Source organism: Homo sapiens, chromosome X (assembly GCF_000001405.40).
Source record: "Homo sapiens chromosome X, GRCh38.p14 Primary Assembly".
NCBI classification, from domain to species: domain Eukaryota; kingdom Metazoa; phylum Chordata; class Mammalia; order Primates; family Hominidae; genus Homo; species Homo sapiens.
Window position 1 is genome coordinate 19,985,564 of NC_000023.11, and position 24,327 is coordinate 20,009,890.

At 45.3% G+C, this 24,327-nt stretch overlaps 2 protein-coding genes and 1 long non-coding RNA gene across 51 annotated transcripts in view, besides 3 other annotated features; all 3 read right to left on the reverse strand.

Moving 5' to 3' along the window:
- Positions 1-5,498, reverse strand: part of BCLAF3 (BCLAF1 and THRAP3 family member 3) — a 78,202-nt gene extending 72,704 nt beyond the window's left edge. For 6 of the 32 annotated variants that reach the window (XM_047441982.1, XM_047441981.1, XM_047441978.1 and 3 more), the window contains exon 1: positions 2,416-2,936. The gene's annotated coding sequence lies outside the window, so the exon portion shown is untranslated. Of the gene's footprint in view, positions 1-2,401; positions 2,941-4,692; positions 5,312-5,344 lie in introns of those variants that run through there. The other 26 variants (XM_047441965.1, NM_198279.4, NM_001367774.2 and 23 more) reach the window with 18 other exon arrangements.
- LOC729609 (uncharacterized) lies at positions 1,254-4,216 on the reverse strand. The gene is made up of 2 exons (NR_024440.1): positions 4,123-4,216; positions 1,254-1,787 (listed from the first exon to the last, which is right to left on the reverse strand). It is a non-coding gene; the product is annotated as an uncharacterized LOC729609 (long non-coding RNA).
- Positions 4,881-5,250: a silencer, noted in NCBI's record as "silent region_20693". NCBI's record gives its function as "represses an Ori minimal core promoter by ATAC-STARR-seq in GM12878 lymphoblastoid cells {active_cell/tissue: GM12878}" and the evidence as "EXISTENCE:reporter gene assay evidence [ECO:0000049][PMID:35858748]".
- Positions 5,321-5,370: a silencer, noted in NCBI's record as "silent region_20694". NCBI's record gives its function as "represses an Ori minimal core promoter by ATAC-STARR-seq in GM12878 lymphoblastoid cells {active_cell/tissue: GM12878}" and the evidence as "EXISTENCE:reporter gene assay evidence [ECO:0000049][PMID:35858748]".
- Positions 5,411-5,840: a silencer, noted in NCBI's record as "silent region_20695". NCBI's record gives its function as "represses an Ori minimal core promoter by ATAC-STARR-seq in GM12878 lymphoblastoid cells {active_cell/tissue: GM12878}" and the evidence as "EXISTENCE:reporter gene assay evidence [ECO:0000049][PMID:35858748]".
- The window catches only part of MAP7D2 (MAP7 domain containing 2), a 110,195-nt gene continuing 107,017 nt past the window's right edge, over positions 21,150-24,327 (reverse strand). For all 18 annotated transcript variants that reach the window (NM_001168466.2, XM_005274480.4, NM_152780.4 and 15 more), the window contains one exon: positions 21,150-22,835. The gene's annotated coding sequence lies outside the window, so the exon portion shown is untranslated. The remainder of the gene's footprint in view (positions 22,836-24,327) is intronic.

The window sequence follows — 24,327 nt, forward strand, 5'->3', positions numbered from 1 at the left end:
GACAGAGTGAGACCCTGCCTCAAAAAAAAAGAAACTTAAAAAATAACAAAATAAACCAAAAGAAAGGACATGGAAGTAAATAATAAAGATTAAAGTAGGCCAGGCACAGTGGCTCATGCCTGTAATTCCGGCACTTTGGGAGACTGAGGCAGGAGGATTATTTGAGGCCAAGAGTTCAAGGCCAGCCCGGGCAACATGGGCAGACCTTGTCTCTACAAAAAAAAATTATCAAAATTAGCCAAGTGTGGTGGTGCACCACTGTAGTCCCAGCTACTTGGGAGGCTGAGGTGGGAGGATTGCTTGAGCCCAGGAGGTAGAGGCTACAGTGAGCTGAGACAATGCCACTGACTGCACGTCAGTCTGAGTGACAGAGAGAGACCTTGTCTCAGGAAAAAACAAGCAAAAAAAGATGAAAGTAGAAGAAAAGAATGAGGGGAAAAAAACAGAAAAACAGATCTAATTAATAATTCAAAATTCTGTAGTTTTTGAAAAAAATAACAAAATAAAATAGATAAACCATTAGATAACTTAAGGAAAAAAGGGGAAAAGCACAGAAACACAAAATGAGGGCATGGAGGAAATAAGATGAAAAAATTTAAAAATAATAAAGGATGTCTTTGTAGACCTCTACCAAATAAATTTGAAAACCCAGATGAAAGGGATAATTTGCTAGAAAAGTACAGATCACTAAAATTTTCTCCATTAGAGTTAGAAAGCTTAAATAGACCAATTTCCACAGAAAAAAAAATTGAGAAAGTTATAAAGGAAATATCACATGAAAAAGCGTCAGGCCCAGATGGTTTCACAGGGAATTCTACCAAATCTTCAAACACGAGATAGCCTCAATGCTCTATAAATTGTTCCAGAGACAGTACGGCACAAGAAGGATCAAGCCTGCGGAAAATCAACCTTTGGAGGAAGATGAACCAGCAAAGGAGAAACTGAGAAGGAACTTCCCAGGAGGAAGAAGGGAACCTTGGAACACAGAATCTCAGAAACAAAAGAAGGATGTTTCAAAAAGGGAGACTTTCATGGTAAATACTGCAGAGAGATCAAATAAAAGGAATGAAAACTGTTAACACATGTCTTGAGGGCTAAACTGAGAAAGCCAATTATTAACAACTCTTTCAAACAGTCCAGCTGGGAAGGGAAGGGGGAAGAGAGAAACTAGGTAGCAGCAGGGTGATTAGAGGTCTAGGAATGAGGTTTTAAAATGGGAGAAACTTGAGTCGGTTTTTTTTTTTTTTTTTTTCCCCTTGAGTCCAGGTCTCACCCCCTCACCCAGGCTGGTGTGCGGTAGTGCAATCATAGCTCACTGCAGCCTTGAACTCCTGGGCTCAAGTGATCCTCTCGCTTCAGTCTTTGAGTAGCTGGGACTATAGGTGCATACCCCATACCCAGCTAATTTTTTAAAAATTTTTTTGTAGAGACAGGGTCTTGCTATGTTGCCAGGGCTAGTCTCAAACTCCTGGCCTCAGGTGATCCTCCCAGTTCAGCCTCCCAAAGTGCTGGGATTATAAGTATGAACCACCATGCCCAGCCAGTACATTTATTCTTAATAAGGAGGGACTATTTGCCTGGCATTAGGGATCTAAAGTAGAATGATAGTCATAGCAGAGATGAGTCTAAGTCCAATTAGTTCAATGTTTCCTTTGATTCCTTAACATTAACTCCAAATAACGTGGTCAATTTTTCCCAATATTCCATATTTACATATTACCTTCTTCATTGGTCCAAACTGAATTTACTTATTTATTTAGAGACAGAGTCTTGCTCTGTCACCCAGGCTGGAGTGCAGTGGCACGATCTCGACTCACTGCAACCTCCGCCTCCTGGGTTCAAGCAATTCTCATGCCTCAACCTCCTGAGTAGCTGGGATTACAGGCATGCACCACCACGCCTGGCTACTTTTTGTATTTTTAGCAGAGATGGGGTTTCACCATGTTGGCCAGGCTGGTCTCAAACTCCTGACCTCAGGTGATCCGTCCACCTTGGCTTCCCAAAGTGCTGGGATTACAGGCGTGAGCCACTGTGCCCGGCACCCCCAAACTGAATTTTTATCAGTGGTCACATTCTATGTTAATTTATCAAACGTGACTAAGTACCAGTGACTGCTAGGGGGTAGGAATACAAAGTTAGAAGAGACCTACTTTCTTTCCTGGGGAAGCTAAGTCTCTAGTGGGTAAGAATGATGACATGAGTACCAGCAGTTCCTGGTTTACTAAGTGTTGTACACGTACTATGTCATGTAATCCTCACAACAAACACATGAGGAAGCTGGAATTACCTCCATTTCACGAGTGAATAAAGCCAGCCTCAAAAAAGTTAACTGATCTGCCCCAGGTGGAGGACCTGAAAGTAGAACCCAGGTTCTTGGACTATAATACTACCACTTCCTCACCTTGCGAATCCTACCTTCAGAAAGATGACCCTGTGGAGGCTGCCCGGTCACTTGCTCAGGTGCTTGGTCAGCAGAAATGGGCTTTAGCATACTTGAGAATAGTTGACATCAGGCATCACATCTAAAATTGCCATCTAAATTTGGAAAGCAGCTTTTATGCCCTCTGCTGCCTGGATAATGTAGCCTGCAGGGCACAAAGACCATGTTTTATTTATCATGAGCCCAAGTACTGTGTTTTATTTAGCGTTATACCTGTCCCTCTCAGCTTTATATAGCGCTTTTAAATATTTGCTCCTTCAACATTTGTGCAGATTCATTCACTCATCTAATTTCATAACCCTGATAAAGTTTTGAATATAATCTAGGGCAGCAGTAAAACAAAAAACTTCAAATTTAAGGAGTGAAAGAGTATGGGGGCAAAGGGTATCAGAGAATAGCCTTTTGAATTAAGGTATTTACTTTAAAAAATGTATGAACCTCAAGATGCTTCTGTGCTCTGAAATTTCTACCAGATGGTAATAACATGGCCGGGTGCAGTGGCTCATGCCTGTAATCCCAGCACTCTGCAAGGCCAAGGCAGGAGAATCGCTCGAGCTCAGGAGTTTGAGACCAGCCTAGGCAACATAGTGAGACACTGTCTCTATTTAAAAATAATAAATTAAAAATAATTTTTAAAAATACCAACAAGACAAAGTGTGTCTAAATGTACTTTCCAGGAATGTTTCAACTGACCCTTAAAATAATCCTTAAGAAAAGTAAGGCAACTGTATTATAACCCCTAATGCATCACTGAGGAAAGAGTACCTTAGAAAAGTTAAGTGACTTGTTCAAGATAATCAGATATACTGGATTTCAAGGGGATCCTAACTTTAAATCTCTTGTTTGTTCTATTACGCCTTTGCCTCACCTAGATAAGCTTTCTTTACCAAAATAGTAAAGGCGCAATAAAAGATGAGAAGCTGAAGTGCTATCAACAAATAAGAAAAAAGTGATGACTAGAGAGGGGTAGTTGTACTTGGTTGGAGAGTACAAGTATGGCTCAAAAGTATTCCTATAGAAATCCCTTTAAATGTTGCCTTTTGCTAGGGTGTGGGTAAGGACACTCACAGATTGTTGGTAGGAGTGCAAAACAGCATATCCTTTCCAGAGGGAAATTGAGCAATTCACATTAAAAAAAAAAAAACCCTTATGTGCATACTCTGCCCAATAATTCTATCATCTAGGAATGTACACTTAGAAAGTAATCATGGGCCGGGCGCGGTGGCTCACACCTGTAATCCCAGCACTTTGCGAGGCCGAGGCGGGCAGATCGCTGGAGGTCAGGAGTTTGAGACCAGCCTGGCAAATATGGTGAAACCCCATCTCTACTAAAAATACAAAAATTAGCCGGGCATGGTGGCACACGCCTGTAGTCCCAGCTACTCGGGAGGCTGACACAGGGGAATCACTTGAACCCAGGAGGTGGAGGTTGCAGTGAGCCGAGATCGTGCCACTACACTCCAGCCTGGGCGACAGAGTGAGATTCGAAAGTAATCATAGATATGCGGACTTTTACATTTACCCAACAATGTATTTTAATAGGGAAGAACTGAGAATGACCAATGAAATAAATTATAATATTACAGCCATATAATGGCATGCTATCTAGTCAGAAAAAGATAATTACAAAAGAGAATTCACTTTAGAAAAACTCATGTATTAAGCTCTGCATAGAAAAAGACTGGAGGTGTATAACCACATTCACAATGGTTACTTGGAATGGGGAAACCATATTCACCATGGTTACTTGGAACTTGGAATAGTGAAACAACGTATCTTCATTGTGATTTCTATCTTAGAAATGTGTATAAATGGCTAAATGTTCCTATATATAAAAATGTTTCTAATAAGACGTTTTAAAGGTTTCTTGGGGGTGACTGAAACAGCTGTGATTTCAAAATAAAATTTTAGTAGCCATTTAAAAAAAACATTAAAAATAAAACATTGCTATACCATTACCATTAAAATACCAATGAAAAATAAAGTCCTCGTTATGAATCTGCAGCAAAACCTTTCTTTTCAAATTCTGCTCTGTCGTTTGGACCTGTTCACATTCAGAAAAATGCTAAAAAGGCTGCCTGGCGAGGAGCCTAAAGAGGCCTTCCTGATTTCTACCTGCAGTTTGTAATTTGTTCCAGGAAAAAAAAAAAAAAAAAAAAAGGCAATCACCTAATAGGTAGTTCGAAAAGCACCTGAGTAGGAAAATATTTACGGGGTAGGTTTCTCTCCCATTTCTTTCCCTCGAGACCTACCAACAGGACAGTCCTGACAGCGACTGGCCCAGTTTCCCAATACAACCCAGAGAAGCACAGGAGATGCGCCAATTTTCAGGAGACGCTTCTAAAAAGACAAGTTTTACTTTACAATGCAGGATAATGAGCAGCCTTCACTACTCATTCTCGACGTTAACAGAGGAAGATGCCGCTGCGCGGCAGGAGCGCCTCACCAGGACAAAGCGGGGTACGGGGGGGTCCTCGGTTCAGGCCCCGCAGGCGACGCGTCCAGGGCCGCCTCGAGGACAAGGGCACCGTCCCCGGACACCGCCTTCCCGGCCCCCGCCCTCTTAACAGATGCAGGGAACCGCGGGGACCGCAACCTGCCCGACGACGGCGGAGGATCAGGGTCGCGGCAGCAGGTGCCCGGGTCGCCGTGCCTGTCGAGGGACCTCAGGGGCGCCGGGCAGCTGTCCCCTGGAAACCCGCGCCGGGTCGCCGCGCCCAAGGGAAGGCGCTGACCGAGGGACCTACGGGGCGCAGAGGAGCTGTCCCAACAGAACCCGAGTCGGACCGCCGCATCCTCCCCGCTGCCCCATCCGCCACCCCGAGAACCGCCCCTCCTGGGTGGCGGACACGCCCTCCCTGCGGGCCCAGGCCTCCTCGCCCCGCCTCCCCCCGAGCCGCTCACCCGGCCGGGAAGCCCCCGCCGCCGCCGCCGCCGCCGCCGCCGCCGCCGCCGCCGCCGCCGCCGCCGGCCCCTCGGGCCTCGCCCCTCACTCTGCCGCCGCCTCCCACAGCAGCGACACCCCAGCCACCTCTGCCGGGCCGCGGGACCCGGAACCACTTCCTTCCGGAACCGCCTCGCCCCGCCCCCACCCCGGCCCCGCCCACTGCTCGCGGCCTCGCACTGGGCCCGTTCTCCAGCCGACCCCTATCCTCTACTCTCCCGGCGAGGGTGCCCCGCCCGGGCTTCTCGGACCAGAGCGCTGCGCCCCCTGCCGGCCGTTCCCACTGCGGCCGCTCTGTCCAGGGCGCCTGCGCCCTCTGCCACCCGCCCGCCGGGTCCGGCTAGAGCGCCTGCGCCCTCTGCCGCCCTCTCGCCGGAAAGGAGGGGACCTAATGGGCGTTCCAGGTCCAGGGATCCTGGGGGTTAAGGCCCAGGGATTGGAGGTCACCCCTCAGTCATGGGCAGAACTTGATCCCGTGGGCCTTCCAGCTTTGTGCAGATCTCTAACCATTCACCTACCCTCTATCCATTTCCCACTCCTCAAATTAAGCATATTCCCGGAAAACAAAGCCTCCCCTCTGGACTTCCCAAATGGTCGGATGGTACCAACATCTATCCGTCATCCAATTCAAAAGATTGCCTCATCTCTGTCTACTCGCTTGGTTTCTCCCCTCCCACACTCCATGCACCAGCCTCAAAGGTAGTGTGTCTTCTTCACTCTTGAAGCTTTCCGCTTGACACTGATATTCTTTCTTCCCCTTGTGAAATAGCTCTTTCAGGCTCTGTGCCATCTGGTAGTAACACCTTTTGCCCTCCCTTGTCACTGTCACCTACTGACTGTCTGGCATTAGTTTTCCTCTCCATCTGATTTACTGCCATCCTCCCAATGAATCCAACATCCACAACCCAGCCTGGTTTCCTTCAGTTCCTCAATCCGAATGACCTTTACTTCTACTTTGTTCACCCGTAGTCTAGAAAATCTAGATATTCATCACTTGATACTGCTCCATCTCTAAAACCTTAAATGTTGAAATCCCACTACCCAACTTAAACCCATAGCCTTTGACTACAACCACTTTTTTATTTTTACTTATTTATTTATTTTGAGACAGAATCTCTGTCACCCATGCTGGAGTGCAGTGGTGTGATCTCGGTTCACTGCAACCTCTGCCTCCCGGGTTCAAGTGATTCTCCTGCCTCAGCCTCCTGAGTAGCTGGGATTACAGGCTGCGCCACCATGCCCGGCTAATTTTTTTTTTTTTTTTAGTAGAGACAGGGTTTCCCCATGTCGGCCAGGCTGGTCTCGAACTCCTGACCTCAGGTGATCCTCCCGCCTCAGCCTCCCAGAGTGCTGAGATTACAGGCGTGAGCCACAGCGCACGGCCTATTTATTTATTTAGAGATAGAGTCTGGCTCTTGTCACCCAGGCTGGAGTGCAGTGGTGCGATCTCGGCTCACTGCAACCTCTGCCTCCCAGGTTCAAGTGATCCTCCTGCCTCAGCCTCCTGAGTAGCTGGGATTACAGGTGTGCGCCACCATGCCCGGCTAATTTTTGTATTTTTAGTAGAGACGGGGTTTCACCATGTTGGCCAGGCTGGTCTCAAACTCCTGATCTCAAGTGATCCGCCTGTCTCAGCCTCTCAAAGTGCTGGGATGACAGGCATGAGCCACCGCGTCCCGGCCTTTTTTTGTTGTTTTTTTTTTTAAGAGTCAGGGGTCTCACTTGGTCGTGGTCCTGGCTGGAGTACAGTGGCATAATCATAGCTCACTGTAACCTCAAACTCCTGGGCTCAAGTGACACTCCTGCCTCAGCCTCTAGAGTAGCTGTTGCAACAGACGTGCACCACCATGCCCAGCTAATTAAAAAAAAAATTTTTTTTTGTAGAGACAGGGTTTCGCCATGTTGCCCAGGCTGTTCTGGAACTTCTAGGCTCAAGTGATCCTGCTGCCTCGGCCTCCCTAAGTGTTGGGATTACAGGCAGGAGCCACTGTGCCCAGCCTTCAACCACTCTTGTAAGCAGAGCCCCCTGCTTTGCCCTTTGACTTGTCCTAACATTAAACTACCACTTAAAACTCCAGTCTGCATTTTCCATTCCTACGTCTACATTTCCAAACACTGCTTGGGCGGGGAGAAAGCCACACAACTATCAAAGAATGATGCCACTACAAATGTGTGGATGCCCACCACAGTGGAGAGCCTGATAGCACTTTGTAATCATTTTATGTGACCCTTTTATGTGATCTTTTTTCCAATAATTGCTGTTACAAACCCTTTTACCACTCTTTTTAAGCCTTATGCAAATGATCATTTTCCTTTCTTCATATATGACTTTGCTTCCTGTTTGGCAGGGAACATGCTTTCAAACAGCATACAAACTCTAGCCTCTCTTCCCCTTGTACACAATGCTCTGGTCATACTAAAGTTTTTGTAATGTAAGAATAAATAATGCTTTTTCTTTCTGGTTAAGAGGTGTGAGTCCTTTTTCACCTGCATATATATGGCCTCAATTCAGAAACATTTTCTTCCATTCTATCTTCAAGAATTGTTTCTGCTCCATTAGCTCTAATCTCTCTTTTAGGAAGAGCAATTAGCTGTATTAGTTCTCTGTTTTATTTTTTTATTTTTATTTATTTATTTATTTTTTTGAGACGGAGTCTCTCTCTTGTCACCCAGGCTGGAGTGCAATGATGCAATCTTGGCTCACTGCAACCTCCGCCTCCCAGGTTCAAGCAATTCTTCTGCCTCAGCCACCTGAGTAGCTGGGATTACAGGCACCCACCACCATGCCCGGCTACTTTTTGTATTTTTAGTGAAGACGTGGTTTCACCATGTTGGCCAGGCTGGTCTCGAACTTGTGACCTCAAGTGATCTACCCGCCTTGGCCTCCCAAAGTGTTGGGGTTACAGGCAGGAGCCACCGCACCGGCCTGTTTTATCATTTTCGTCTTTCATCCATTTCCAGCATTTCCAGTAGACCTCAAGTTTGCTTTATTGATACTGATATGGCTTTCTAAAGCATTATTTCTGTCTCTATTTTGACTCAAACTTTATTATTGAGATTTTTGTTTCTTTGTATTCTCTCCCGCCCGGTTCTCTCCCGTTACTGTAGTAATCTCCATCTCACCCTTTCATTTCCTTACGAATTTCTGTTCTGATTTTATAGAAAGCCTATCATATTCCAAAAGGATGCTAAACCGGTTGTGAAATTTTTCTTTCAGATTCTGCAGATAATCCTTTTCAGAAGTATGCTCCTTTGGGACAGGTGCAGTGGCTCACGCCTGTAATCCCAGCACTTTGGGAGGTCAAGGAGGGTGGATCACTTGAAGTCAGGAGTTCGAGACCAGCCTGGCCAACATGGGGAAACCCCCGTCTCTACTAAAAGTACAAAAATTAACTGGGCGTGGTGGCGCACGTCTGTAGTCCCAGCTACTCAGGAGGCTGAGGCAGGAGAATCGCTTGAACCCAGGAGGTGGAGGTTGCAGTCAGCCAAGATTGCGCCACTGCACTCCAGCCTGGGTGACAGAGCGATGCTCCATCTCAAAAAAAAAAAAAAGAAATGTGCTGTTTTTTTCTCTTCCATTCCCATGGTTTCTGTGTCTTCATTATATGTAAATATAAATATATGTACACACAAATATAAATTTATATACACACATATTTATATTTATAAATAAAAAATATATACACACATATATACATACATATACATATATGCACACAGATATATATGTATATGTGTATATATATTTGTGTATGTGTATATATATGTGTGTGTGTATGTATGTATGTATATATATATATATATATATATATATATATTTCTTTTGACTCCTCTTTGAACAAGGTGGTCTTTTTCCAGACTCACAATTGTCAACAGACAGCACAAGTAGATGGTCCTTGGCCCTATTTGCTGTCTACTTGTGTGGAAAGAGAGGTTAAACAGTTTGCACATAGTCCTTGGTGTCTATATGAATAGCATACATGCACATGTACGCAGAGCAAGCCTAAGAGAAACGGAGTATCATCTCCCTTGCCTTTCCTTTCCTTTGGGTTTCATGTGAAGCCAAATCTGCTGCAGAATGCCAGCTCTGCTTCAAACAAGGAATTTGTATTGGTAAGAATAAGCTATGCTACAATAACAATCCCAAAACCTCAGTGGCTTGGAGAAAGAAAGAACAGCAAATGTTTATTTCTCACTTACATTTCACATCCATCGTGGGGCAACTTTGACTCTTCTGTCTGGGATCCAGACTGAAAGAATAGACCCTGCCGGAGAGCTTACCACTGTCATATCAGAAGAAAACAAGCAAGGGTGGGACCATACACTACATAGTGAAGCTCCTGCTTCAAGCCACCAAATCAGAAACTCTAGGGCTGGGCATGGTGGCTCACTGTAATCCAAGCACTTTGGGAGGCTGAGGTGGGTGGATCTTCCGAGGTCAGGAGTTCAAGACCAGCCTGGCCAACATGGGGAAACCCTGTCTCTACTAAAAACACAAAAATTAGCCAGGCGTGGTGGTTCACACCTATAATCCCAGCTACTCGGGAGGCTGAGGCAGGAGAATTACTTGAACCTGGGGGGCAGAGGTTGCAGTGAGCCGAGATTGCACCATTGCACTCCAGCCTGTGTGACAGAGCAAGACTCTGAAAGAAAGAAAGAAAGAAAGAAAGAAAGAAAGAAAGAAAGAAAGAAAGAAAGAAAGAAAGAAAGAAAGAAAGGAGGGAGGGAGGGAGGGAGGGAGGGAGGGAGGGAGGGAGGGAGGGAAGGAAGGAAGGAAGGAAGGAGGGAGGGAAGGAGGGAGGGAAGGAGGGAGGGAAGGAGGGAGGGAAGGAAGGAAGGAGGAAGGAAGGAAGGAAGGAAAGAAAGAAAGAGAAAGAAAGAAAGAAAGAAAAAGAAAGAAACTAACTCTAGGAGTAGGGCCCAGCAAACTTCATTTCAGCAAGTCTCCAGGTGACTCTGACGCACCCTCAAACGAGAACCACTGCTGCATCGCTTGTACTCCCTGCAAACCAGAACATGGACATAGAGGCTTGCTGTAATTCAGGGTAGTTTTAAAATCCTTAAACCAGAGAAAAATGTAAACAGTTTTAAAAGGAGCAATTCAGGCTGCAATGCAGACTTAGACAAAGTACATACTGCCATCGTCATTTTTTGGAGAGCATCAGCTTCTGGGGAGACCTATCAGCTGCCTTGGCACGTTCTCCCGCCACCCTTCTGTGTGGCTTTCTTTTTTAAATGCTGACGTGAGAAAAAGAAAATTGTGAAGCAGTAGGACAAATAGCTTTCTCAACCCTTGAAAACACTGTTGTCCAGATTGACCCTAGTTTGTATGGTGATGGTGTGACTTCAGCATCTCCATTAGCGCTTAGAACCCAGGACTGGCAGAACCAGGTGCATTTTCCCTTGCCTTAACGATCTGACTTTGGTTGTGTGGCTTAACGCTATTAATGAAATTTAATGTATAATGCTTAGCTGGCCCTGTTCCCTCCTCCTTGTCTTCCATCCCATGATATAGGCATTTTTTTGTGGACGCTGTCCTTTCTTTACCTTTGCTTTTTAAATGGCTTTGTCAACAGCAGAGTGCAGACAGAACTGATTTATATTGTTTGGATGAAAATGTTTTTAGACAGGCTTATGCTGCAGGTTTCTTTTTGCTCATTCTAGTCACTGCCTGTATGTCTGTTTTCCTACTGAGATGGAGGACAAATTCCTAAACAAAATTTGGTAGTTGCTACCAGTCAGTCCTCTGGTCCTATAAATTATTTCTGATGAACTCTTTTGTAATGTAATAGGTGTAGTGGCTTGGCTCTGGTTCTGAAAGACATATAATATCTGTGGTTTTAAAGCAGTGTCTTACAACTCAGCAATTATTTTGAAAAACATTTTGAGATAGTCTACCTACATTAACGCAAGGCAAAAAGGAGGAGTTTGAGACCAGCCCACACAACATGGCAAAACACCGTCTCTACAAAAAAACACAAAGAATTAGCCAGGCATGGTGGTAGGAACCTGTTGTCCCAGCTACTTGGGAGACTGAGATGGGAGAATCATCTGAGCCCGGGAGGCAGAACTTGTAGTGATCTGAGATTGCGCCACTGCACTCCGGCCTGGGCAACAGAGCAAGACCCTGTCTCAAAGAAATAAACAAATAAGAGCAGCCTGGCTAACATGGTGAAATCCCGTCCGTAACAAAAATACAAAAATTAGCCGAGTGTGGTGGCGCATGTCTGTAATCCCAGCTACTCTGGAGGCTGAGGCAGGAGAATCGCTTGAACCCGGGAGGGTGAGGTTACAGTGAGCCGAGATTATGCCACTGCACTCCAGCCTGGGCAACAGAGTGAGGCTCTGACTCAGAAAAAAAGAAAAGAAAAGAAAAGAAAAAGTCCAGTGCCTTCCCACTGTAGAAACTCTATACCCAAATCCCTTCCTACCATAAATGGTCTCTTTTGTGTCCACGCACAACCCCAAAACCAATTCAAAAGTCATTCATCTCTCCAAAACTTCATTTGCCTGACGAATTTACTTTGTTCAACCCCATATTTATTAGGTACCCCACAGTCTCGTCTTAACTTTTCACTCCAATTCCCACTCTCCCTTGGACTGGTAGGGAAAGAGAACATAATGGACTCTGTGGTAGATTTTACAATAATATATTCAAAACATTTACCACCCTTCCCTCCCCAGGCCCCTTACTAGAAAATGGAAAAATGACACAAGTGACTCACATGATACTCCTACTGAACAGCTCTGGTCTAAGTCAATCATGGCATGGCAGAGACGACTAACTATCCACCAAATTATGTGTGTTCTCTCTTCCATAGAATAGCAATATCTCTGGTAAGAAGCAAACTAGCCAGGGAATATACTTCCCAGCATCCCTTGCATCTAAGTAGGGCCACATGACTAGTTGTACTAACGGAATGTGAGAGGAAGTAGTACATGTCCCTTAGGGGCCCAGGTGGTTAAGAAGTCATGTGTCTTCTCCATACTCTTTCCCTGTTCTGTCAGCTTGATGCAGAAAAACGTGATACAATTGGAAGATGAGGGGGCCACAAGATGGAGAGAGTCTGGTCTCTGACTTAGGACTCAGAGGAGCGTTGTAATCAGGCACATCTGTTTGGGACTTCACATAAGGAAGAAAAAAACTTGTATTTGAGCCATTCTGCATTTTAGGTGTGCTGTGGTTGTTACAGAAGCGAGCATTACCTCAACTAATAACATGGGATAATCTCACTCCCTTTGGCAGGTGATGAGCTGAGGGGTAGGTGGAAGACCTAGTACTGGCCAATGAGAAGTAGAAATCTGCTGCTGGGGGCTTCTGGGAGAGGGTTTCCTCCCTGGCTAAAGGAAGGTGCAGTAACAAGGAGCAGCCTGCCACTGACTTCTTGCCTTTGACCATGATGGTGTGCAGTTGGGATGCTGGTGCTGCAGCGACCTTCTTCAGAGCCAAGACACTCAAAGAGATGCTGCCTTAGAATCCTGACGCCATTGAGCTGCCTTTGGAGCTTGTTATATATTAGGTGTGATAAATACCCTTAATATTGAAATCGCTTTCTGCTATATGTACTGGGACCATTCAAACTGGTATATTTATTCTCAATAGAGAAATCATTCATTCAACAAAGATTTATCGTGTGTCCACTGTGTGGCAGGTGCTGTTCTCGGTGCTGGGGATTCAATAGCAAATATGAAAAGTAGGGTCCCTGGGACCTTTATCTTTATCAGACTGTGGGTCTGGCAGAAACACATGCAGATCCAAGGCCACAATTTTATTATATTATATTTTTATGAATATATTAGAGATAAGGCCTCTGTTACCCAGGCTGGAGTACATTGGCACCATCACAGCTCACTGCAGCCTTCAACTAACTTCCTGCCTTAGCCTCCCAAGTATCTTGGGCTCAAGCTATCCTCCCACCTTAGCTTCCCAAGTATCTGGGACTATAGGCATGCACCATCATGCCTGGCTGTTATTTTAATTTTTGTAGAGAAAAGGTCCCACTATGCTGCCCAGGCTGGTCTTGAACTCCTGGGCTTAAGTGATCCACCTGCCTTGGCTTCCCAAAGTCCTGGGGTTACAGGTGTGAGCCACTGTGCCTGGCAGAGGCCATAATTTTAATTCAAAGAGTTTCTCAGTAACAACTGTGTTTATTCACTCACAAATATTTACTCAATATCTATGTTGGGTGATAGGAATATGACAGTCTTGCTGTCATGACACTTACAGTGAGGGAGATAGACCTTAATCAAAGAATCTCACAAATCAATGTATCATCACAAACTGTAATGATATGAAAATGTGGGCTGGGCGTGGTGACTCACTCCTGTAATCCCAGCACTTTGGGAGGCCAAGGCAGGTGGATCACCTGAGATCAGGAGTTTGAGACCAGCCTGGCCAACATGGTAAAACCCGTCTCTACTAAAAATACAAAAATTAGCTGGATGTGGTGGCGCACGCCTGTAATCCCAGCTACTCGGGAGGCTGAGGCTGGAGAATTGCTTGAACCTCGGGGGCAGAGGCTGCAGTGAGCTGAGATTGTGCCACTGCACTCCAGCCTGGGCAGCAGAGCACGACTCCATCTCAAAAAAAAAAAAAAAAAAAGAAATAAAAGAAAAAGAATATGTATAACAGCAGGCTTGACCTTCACATCCATCACAATTGCAAATAATGACTTTTAAAATTGTCTACTGTCTCTCTTCACTGCTAGACTACAAGCTCCAGGAGGATGGGGACACTTTCTAGTCTTGTTCTCTGCTCCATCCCCATCCCTAGCAAAATGCTTAGAATGGAGTAGATATTCATTCGTAGTTGCTTCATAAATGAGCAGTTATGAAATGGGTTGCCTTCTGGATGAGGGAAAAAAAATCTCATAGCAACTGTGCTCCCAGGTGGAAGGTGCACATATTCTGCTTGCGTGAGCGATACAAAGATGGATGAAACGCCCTCAGCAGAAGATTCTCAAGGATTTTCAAAGTCAGCAACAATTTCTGGTGAGGGAAGCTGGTTGAGGAGATTGATTGGGAAAATGAAGCTAGAAGGTGTGTAGACTAGCAAGAGCCTCTAGGGGCTGGGTCAGTCTGATTTGTCTGGGCAGGCACTTTGGGCTGTGGTGAACTAGGCCAAGTGCAGGCTCCAAAACACACCTTGGGGTTGGAAGCCCAGCTCTGTACTTCCTGGTTGCATGTGACCTCGGACCAGTGGCTTAGCCTGAGTCTCGGGTCCCTCATGGTGAAAAGAGCATGGTAACATCCATGCCTCTCTCGGAATGTTGTCTGGAAGGTTAGGAGAGCTAGCACATGAAAAGCCTTAGCACAACGCCCAGCTGGCTCTGGATGGGTTCTTTGGGAAACTCTCAGACCAACTGGCATGCGGGGCATGTATGCAGAGTGGCTGGGGTGGGGAGGCGTGAAGGAAGCAGGAGGGAGAACTTAGACTGCAATGCAGTCTCTGCAGAGCCCTCAGGTGACCCCACAGGGAGCTCTGAAGCTAGGATGGCTAACTCAGAGTTGTCCTACCTCCAGGCAAGGGGCTTTGTACACTGAACTGATCCAGTCATCAGATACAGGCTGCCCCAGGAGGAGGTTTAACCTTGGCGAGGCAACCTCCTTCAGCCAAGGGCAATTCCCAGACAGGAAGTCCACCGACAGGCTTCAGGGGCTGTACCTCCAGCATCTGGAAGGAGACACCTGGAAGGACGAACACCTCAGCCCTAAAAGGGAGGTCCATCTGGGTGGCGCACCATGACGTCCACTCCACTAGCATTTAATATGAACCTTTGAAGCCATTAGTATAGCTATTTCAGATTTCCCAAATCCTGCTGAGGATATAAGGACCCTCACTTGTCAAAGTATAACTTCCCAAAGGTTAAAAACATGATTCTGATGTTAATATACAGCGAGCGTGTGTCAAAAAATGTATTGAACTCTTTAAGGAGCAGGATGAGAAAGCAAGTCAAAGGCGGAGATGAGGACTATTATGCACACATGTATGTACGTAACATACACACACACGTGTATTTAGTAGGAAAAAAAGAATGCTGGAATAAGATGGCACAGTTAGAGACAAAGTTTTTTAGTGTCTTACAGGAACAAACAGACATAACCTCTAACTCCAGAGGCTGAGTCCTAACCCATAGCACATGGTGAGCCGCTCGAACTAACATCTTCCGAGACCCAGCTGGCCCAGAGGCTGCCTTGTGAAGACAACGCTCTATCAGGGCTTGGAAAGGGTACACGGTTATCTTTTTGCCTTTCACATTCTGAATAATTTCTTACCATTATGAACCTTGTACCAGCTACCAGGGCTGTGACCCACAGAGTAGGCCCCTGAGAATCCTTTAGAAGGCCAGGTCCACTGAACAAATGGAATTTATTCTGTCCTCCCAGTGGGCCTAGGAAGATTCGGTTTGTCCTAGAATAACCTACAGGTCCCACAGTGATGACTGAATTCAATCCAACAAGCTTTACGCACGTCTACTGTGTGTGGCACAGCCCTGTCCTAGTTGTTAGTTCTGCGTGGATGACTTTCCTGTTGTTTCAAGATGACCCTACACACGCTATTAGGAAAATTTAACTAAAATATAAGTACAGCCAACAAATTGCTGCTAGCTCTAATTCTAAAAAGAAGTTACTTTCCGCAAAGGTTCAATTGCTTGGAACTCTATTCCTTGCATTTCCTGAGATGAGGTGAGATGGGGAAAGCCTGCCTTCACCATTTCTTGGAAGTCCCGAAGGCTGGCAGCTTTCGACACTCCCCAGGCCCCAGTCCCTTGTTGCCAGTTGAATGGCTGCATTATTTCACTGCAGCATAGAAGCCTCGGCAGGAGGTTCTTGTTGATTTACTGCAGAGCATGGAGGGAGGGGAAGGGGGTGAATTCTCCACGGGCAACACCTGCAGCATTTTAGCTCCCTCTGCCTTTTGCAAGGGGACCCTCAGGCTCTGGGCAGTAGGTGATTTCTTTCCACAGTGCCATGAGTGCCCATTGCCATGGACCCTGGCTTGGACCTTAGAGGGGAAAAAGAGGGCACTGAAACACTCCCTCCCTGGTGGTTAACGTGGGGGATCGGTCCCAGAAACATAAGGGCAAGTAGAGTCACAGTGTAAGTCACCCCATGCCCGAATCCGTGGTCATTGTTAAAGGCATGCCTCCAAAGGTTCAGAATTTTCAAAGTGTCTTAAATTACAGCTTCCCCCAATCCATGTCTCTCATCAACCTAGGAGCCCATGCTGGGCATCTGAGAGGTGAGCCTGTGTTTGGCATTTGATCCCATGTTTATGAAGTGAATGTGGAACAACACAAAACAGCCCACACTCATTGTGACATAAACATTGTCCTAGTTTGTCCTATTGAAGGGGTAAGATGGGGAAGTGACTGCTTCAAAGAAGAATGCTATCTTCGAACCCCATGTTCTTGCTTTTAGGTACAATGAGAACTTGAACTAATGGCTGATAAAGCCAAGCTTTGCTGCTTTGAGTAGATGAATGGATGACAAACCCTTGAAAAAGCACTCCGGTAAAAATGTTCTAGAATTAGTAGTGATGGTTGCACAACTCTGTGACTAAAGACCACTGTATTCTATACTTAAGATAAATTTTAATAATGTCACTATATTTAATAATATATCTATATCTATCTATCTAATCTATATCTAATTTTGAGACGGAGTCTCATCCAGCCTGGAGTGCTGGAGTGCAGTGGCACGATCTTGACTCACTGCAACCTCCACCTCCCAGGTTCAAGCAATTCTCCTGTCTTAGCCTCCCGAGTAGCTGGGACTACAGGCGCCCACCACCACGCCCAGCTAATTTTTGTCTTTTTAGTAGAGATGGGCTTTCACCATATTGGTCAGGCTGGTCTTGAACTCCTGACCTCAGATGATCCACCCGCCTCGGCCTCCCAAAGTGCTGGGATTACAGGCGTGAGCCACCGCGCCCGGCCTCAATATGTATTTTAAAGCACCTTCAGAACTAGGAGTTTCCATGAGGGTCCTGGTCCTTTGCTACTCCTTTTATAAGTGCTTGCTCTAGCAAGACTTTTTTTTTTTTTTTTTTTTGCCCTGCTTACCCCCTAGCAAAACAGTGTTGCTGCTCTGTGGGGCAGAAAAGCCTGTCAACTTCCCCTGGGGGTACTAAAGCTGGGGTCCTGGAAGTCGGGCGCAGTGGTTTGTGCCTGTAACCCCAGCACTTTGGGAGGCCAAGGCGGGAGAATCACCTGAGCTCAGGAGTTCGAGACTAGTCTGGGCAACATAGGGAGAATGTGTCTCTATTAAAAAATACGTATCTTTAAATACATATAAAAAATAAAGCTGGGGCCCTAGAGTCACAGCCAGCTTTGCCAAGTTCCAGCTGTGTGTGTCCTTGGGGAAGTAACCGTCCCATACCTACCTCAAAGCATGAAATTTTTTTTTTTTTTTTTTTTTTTTTTTTTTTTTTTTGAGACGGAGTCTCGTTCTGTCGCCCAGGCTGGAGTGCAGTGGCCCGATCTCGGCTCACTGCAAGCTCCGCCTCCCTGGTTCACGCCATTCTCCTGCCTCAGCCTCCCGAGTAGCTGGGACTACAGGCACCCGCCACCGCGCCCGGCTAATTTTTTGTATTTTTAGTAGAGACGGGGTTTCACCGTGTTAGCCGGGATGGTCTCGATCTCCTGACCTCGTGATCCGCCCGCCTCGGCCTCCCAAAGTGCTGGGATTACAGGCGTGAGCCACTGCGCCCGGCCAAAGCATGAAATTTTTGAAGCAACTCAGTACATGCTGTCTGTCATGGCCCACTGCCGCAGAAGCCTAAAGCAAGGTAAGCAGAGGCCTGCTGCTCCCCACTTCCTGAGAGCCTGGCACATCGCGGGGGTGCCTGGCAGCTCAGGATCTTTACAGGATGCTCCCAAGCCTTGCATCTAAATTTCATCCCTGACTTAAACATTGATCCATGAGTGGTACCCTCACCTTGGATACCTTGGATCTCTTTGCTGTCTTTATCATTTCCTCACTGTGACTTCTGGGCCCCTGTCCCTACCACATCAGAGATTCTAAACTCAATTGACAGCCAAGCGCAGTGGTTCACGCCTGTAATCCCAGCACTTTGGGAGGCCAAGGCGGGCAGATCACTTGAGGTCAGGGGTTCGAGACCAGCCTGGCCAACATGGTGAAACCCCCATCTCTAGTAAAAATACAAAAATTAGCCGGGCATGGTGGTGGGCGCCTGTAATCCCAGCTACCTGGGAGGCTGAAGCAGGAGAATCGCTTGAACCTGTGGAGGAGGTTGCATTGAGCTAAGAGCATGCCACTGCACCCCAGCCTCAGGGACAGAGTGAGACACTCAGAAAAAAAACCCCAAAAAACAAAAAACCCTCAAAGTTGACACTCAGGATACCTGCTACCTCTCTACAAGTACAATGGCCCACGCCCAGCCCCACCATGCATTCAATTCTTACCGATCTTGGGTATTTCTGATCTCTATAGCTATTCCAAATTCTATTTCTCTATCAGAATACCATTTCAGTTATGGAAGTTTTATCATGTATTTTACTATTTGTTGGGGGAAATTCTTCTTTAAAAATTCCTAGGTTTCTTAGCTTTGTGTTCAGCTTTTAAAATGAACTGTACAATTCTATTATTATTTTTGAGATGGAGTCTCGCTCTGTCACCCCGGCTGGAGGGCAGTGGCGCTATCTCGGTTCACTGCCAGCTCCGCCTCCCGGGTTCATGCCATTCTCCTGCCTCGGCTGCCTGAGTAGCTGGGACTACAGGCGCCCGCCACCACGCCCAGCTAATTTTTTGTATTTTTAGTAGAGACGGGTTTTCACCATGTTAGCCAGTATGGGCTTGATCTCCTGACTTCGTGATCCACCTGCCTCGGCCTCCCAAAGTGCTGGGATTACAGGCGTGAGCCACCGCGCCCGGTCCCTGCAATTCTCTTTTCAAGTTGCTGAAATGAAATCTCATTGACTGGAACCAATGTGAGTGCTGCCTATAGGATGAGCCTTCTTCATATGCATAGGATTTCCCATTCAGGGGCATGGCGTGTCTTTCCATTCACTTCAATTCTAACATTCCTCTCGTTTTAGCTGGTTTTTATTTCTATGAAATTTATGGTTTTTGTTGGAACCTATTTCCAGTTTATTGCTGATATGTAAGAAAAAGACTCGTCTGGCCAGGCATAGTGGTGCACACCTGTAATCTCAGCACTTCGGGAGGCCAAGGTGGGAGGATTGCTTGAGCCTGGTTGAAGACCAGCCTGGGCAACATAGTGAGACCTCGTCTCTACATAAAAATTTAAAAGAAATTAACTGGGCATGGTGGTGCACGCCTATATTCCTAGTTACTCAGGAGGCTGGTGCAGGAGAATCACTTGAGCCCAGGAGTTCAAGGCTGCAGTGAGCTATAATCGTGCCACTGTGCTCCAGCCTGGTCCTGTGCCCCTATGCGCCCCCAAAAAAACTATTAATTTTTCTTTGATAGTTGGCCTCCTTGTGAAATCATTCTAAGAGATTTTCATGGGTTTCCAGAAAAAAGACCATTTGTGAAGCTTCTCGTTTCTGAGAGTTCTTGCTTCATTTTCTTACATAATTGTGCTTTTTAAAAAGAGACAGGGTCTTGCTCCATTGTCCAGGCTGGAGTGCAGTGGTGTGATCATAGCTCACTGCAACCTTGAGCTCCTAGGCTCAAGTGATCCTCCTGCCTTCGACTCTCAAGTAGCTGGGATTACAGGTGTGTGCCACCATGCCCAGCTGAGTTTTTGAAATTTATTTTGTAGAGAACAGAGGTCTTGCTTTGTTGCCCAGGCTGGTCTCGAACTCCTGGCCTCAAGTGATCCTCCTGCCTCGGCCTCCCAAAGCACTGGTAGTACAGGTGTGAGCCACTGCACCCGGCCCATAATTGTGCTTTCTGAACAATGCTGAGGAATGGGTATGGAGGTCACCCTGTGCTGTGCCCCATTGTAATGGGTATACTTCTTGAGATGAATTAGTTCTTTACATTTGCTTTCTAAATTAACAAAAGCATCTAATAGGAAACCTGTACACACTAAGAAAAAATTTGCGATGTTCACAAACAAGAAACTGTTCTTAGGAATGACTGGCCACCAATGTAGGCCCTATGGCCAGAGCTCATGATGACATAAGCTACTTCTAATGCCCCTCCCAGAGGTCTGCATATGGAAATAGTGTCTGCTCCTGTGCCCTGACCAGAGGCTTTGTCAACAGAACTGGGGAAGGCAGCAATGACCGGGCCCTCAGCTTCAGAGATGGCAGCCCAGAAGTTACCACAGGGGTCTCTAATTCCAGTCCTGCCCACCTGGCTTCTGGTCTGGCCTGGTACTGTCTCCAGGCAGTGGAAAGCCTGTGAGTTAGACATTAAAAAACAAACAAGCAAACAAAAAAAACTGGTCTGGGTTTCAACTTACCTGAAAATAAGGGTCAACATTCCCATTATAACTTTATTTAAATGCCAAATTGCTATGTGCAATGTTATCATAGATTATGGTAAGGTTAACTGTATCTTAGCTAGAAAGCCCTCACACCAGTGGTATGAAAGTACAGGAACTTGGCTGGGCGTCGTGGCTCATGCCTATAATTCCAGAACTTTGGGAGGCTGAGGCAGGAGGATTGATCACTTGAGCCTAGGAGACCAGCTTCAGCAACATGGTGAGACCTTGTCTCTCCAAAAAAAAAAAAAAAGGAAAGAACAGCAACTTTTTTTTTACTATACTCAGAAGTCCATTGTGTTCTAGTGACAGTCATCACTTAAGAAGCTTTATGCAGTTGACTCCACTTGGCACTGGCAACAAAGGAATTTTTAATGAGTTTGACAGGGAAAGGACACCCACACAGGATTTTTTGGTTTTCTTCTACACAGGTTTTTAAAAGCCTGGTTTGGTTTCAGCACATTGAGCTTACAGAAAAAATAAAACGCTAGCAAGTCATCAGACTCTTCAATGAAAATGTATTTCACATTAAACACAAGGTACATATCATGCAAATGAGGCATCACCATGGTCACAATGGTGCTGTGAGGTACAACAAATCACAAGAAAACAGACATTTAGCAAAATAAGGTTCCAGGAAAGATGAGAGGCATTTTCTGAAAGCCAGACCATGCTATGGTTTCTGTGTGCCTGTCATAAAGGGACTTGGCCAGTATTTGCCGAGATGGACAGCACCGCATTATGTGGAGGCATGTACTTTATTGAGTAGAGACACATACACAGACATATAATTTCTGTAACTAATACATTCTTAAATGTAGCTGGCTGTAAAAGCACATGAACAAGATTACTACTGAGACTTCTTTGTATCTCCTGGTTGCAAACCTCTCTCAGAATTATGAATCTTTCCAAACCCTTAATTATACAAGTCAAAACAAAAAGTTTCAAAGAAGAAAAGGTCATTTTAATTTGAAAGCCACATTTCGCCACAAGAAACAAAATTAAGAAAACACACCATTATATGGCATAAAATGTGTGGAGTATACATTCTAGTGTCATTTTTCCCATTCAGATTTTTTCTTGAAGTCCATTAAAGTGACATACTGGGTCCAATGTGGGCCCCCTATTGTTTCAGAATGCTATGGTTTTTGTTTGCGCCTGGTTTTATTAAAGCTGGGCAAACACAGGAGCAAACAAAGAAAACTCCCAAGATCCAATAGAAAAAAAATTAGCAAGAACATTGAAAACCAACCACCTGCACGCGAGACATAGGATTCATTCAGCTGGAAAGCCACTCCATGGTCTGGAGTGACTACAGCATGAAGATTTTAAGGTGTGACACGAAAGAGTCCTTGCTAGATTCAGTTGCCCATGTATACACGAATATGCATAAGAGAACAGAAATCATTACTGACTGTTTTGACTTCCTTCCTCAACCAAACTTACTACTTTAACCCCAGAAGAATAATGTGGGGCAATGCATTTCTGCAGGTGGCAAAGCTTAACAACAATTTTTTAAAGGCTTCTTGATACTGCTTTCCAACAGAGAAACTCTGGAGATGGGGAACCTCCTGAATTTCTTCTCTGTCTCAAAAAAGACAGGGAGATATACAGTGCAAGTTGAGTATATGTTGAACTAGAGTTTGGGTAAATGTCTAGAATATTTTACAGGAAAAGACATCTAAATGTTTATGTGCTCCAACTTTGGGAATAAGAATGGTTATAAAGCGAATTGCCGAGCCAGTCACTCAGGTTATTCAGAGGGTCACTATGATAATAGAGAAGTTCAGGAAGTGCTTTATCAGTAGCTGAAGCTCATAAACAGAACTGTAAAAGGAAACTTTGCTAAAGCCCAGCAAGGTGAAAGTTTCAAGGTTTCTACCAAGAGTGGCCAGTGTTTGACATACTACCTAGGAATACAGTTACATTCCGAGCTAATAATTTGGGATCCAGCGGTAAGGGTGACAGAAGCTTCTTCAAGCAGCTAGTAGCTCGGATTTGACTATCAGCAGCTTTACGGGTTCTCCAAACACCTGTGTCAATTCAGAAACAAAACCAGATGAGATCAAAGGGAAAACCAAGTATTGTGCAGTTTGTAGCACTATTCTCTCACTAAAACGATCACAACACACTGTGGCACTTTCTACCTTCTTGGCAATTATATTTTCCTCCTGGGCTTATACAGTATTTCTCAACAGAAGTGATAGAGTATTTTACATAGGACTATTCTTTTAGATGGGTCAAATTTTCCTTGTATGGAACTTTTCTAAAACCTGCAGATATTTAATGTCTCAAGCTTTGTCTTTCAAATGCCCCCAGCCACTCTGGCAACAAAAACCATCAACGTATGTCCAAACGTCTCCTGGTGGGGGTGGTACCACTTTTGGTAGAGAAGAATTTGAGAACTAGACCCAATCATAATTAAAAATATACAAGCAGTGTGAATAAAATAATTTGAGATTTTTCTTTTTGGACAGGGGTTTTGCATTTCTTTTAGAGATGTAAGAAATAAATTTGAGGACCTATGAATACTCTAATAAATTTTGTGGATTCTCTGTTCCTTACTGTATAGTGAGGTAAGTGAACTGAAGGGAAACTAATTTTAAAGTCAAAGTATGTTAAAAACACAAAAAACCTCTTAATAAATATTAAGCCACGTAACTGTCAGGGAAATAGAATGCTCAGGTGATTTAGTGTTTTAAGTGTCCAAGAAGGCAGCTGCTTTTCCAAACCAGTGATACAGTTTACTCTAAAAGTGACCCACCACACACCAAGAACCAAGAGAAATGGGCTCTCAAACTTGTCTTATAGGCAAGAGCTGAGGTCAGGTAGAAACAAGTATACAAAAAACACAGTGACCTCAGCTCTGTAGCCTCTCCCACCTGTTTCCTCATTTGAAAAATAAAAACACTGGACTGTTATTTTGGCCAGTGAATTTGTTATGGGAGTGAAGTATAAAAAATAAAGTGACTGAGAAAATGCCGAGAATATAAAAATGCTTTTAAGAATCTAAAATGGCCGGGCGCGGTGGCTCACGCCTGTAATCCTAGCACTTTGGGAAGCCAAGGCAGGCAGATTACCTGAGCTCAGGAGTTCGAGACCAGCTTGGGCAACACAGTGAAACCCTGTCTCTACTAAAATACAAAAAATTAGCCAGGCATGGCGGCGTGCACCTGTAGTCCCAGCTACTCGGGAGGCTGAGGCAGGAGAATGGCTTGAACCTGGGAGGTAGAAGTGGCTGTGAGTGGAGATCATGCCACTGCACTCCAGCCTGGGTGACAGAGTGAGATTCCATCTCAAAAAAAAAAAAAAAAAAAAAAAAAGAATCTAAAATGGATAAATGGATGCAAGGCATGGTAGCTCATGGCTGTAATCCCAGTAAGTACTTGGGAGGCCAAGGAGAGAGGATCACTTGAGGCCAGGGGTTCAAGACCAGCCGGGCAACATAGCAAGACCCAACCTCTACAAAAACTAAAAAAAATTAGCTGGGCCTGGTGGCATGTGCCTATGATCCAACTACTCAGG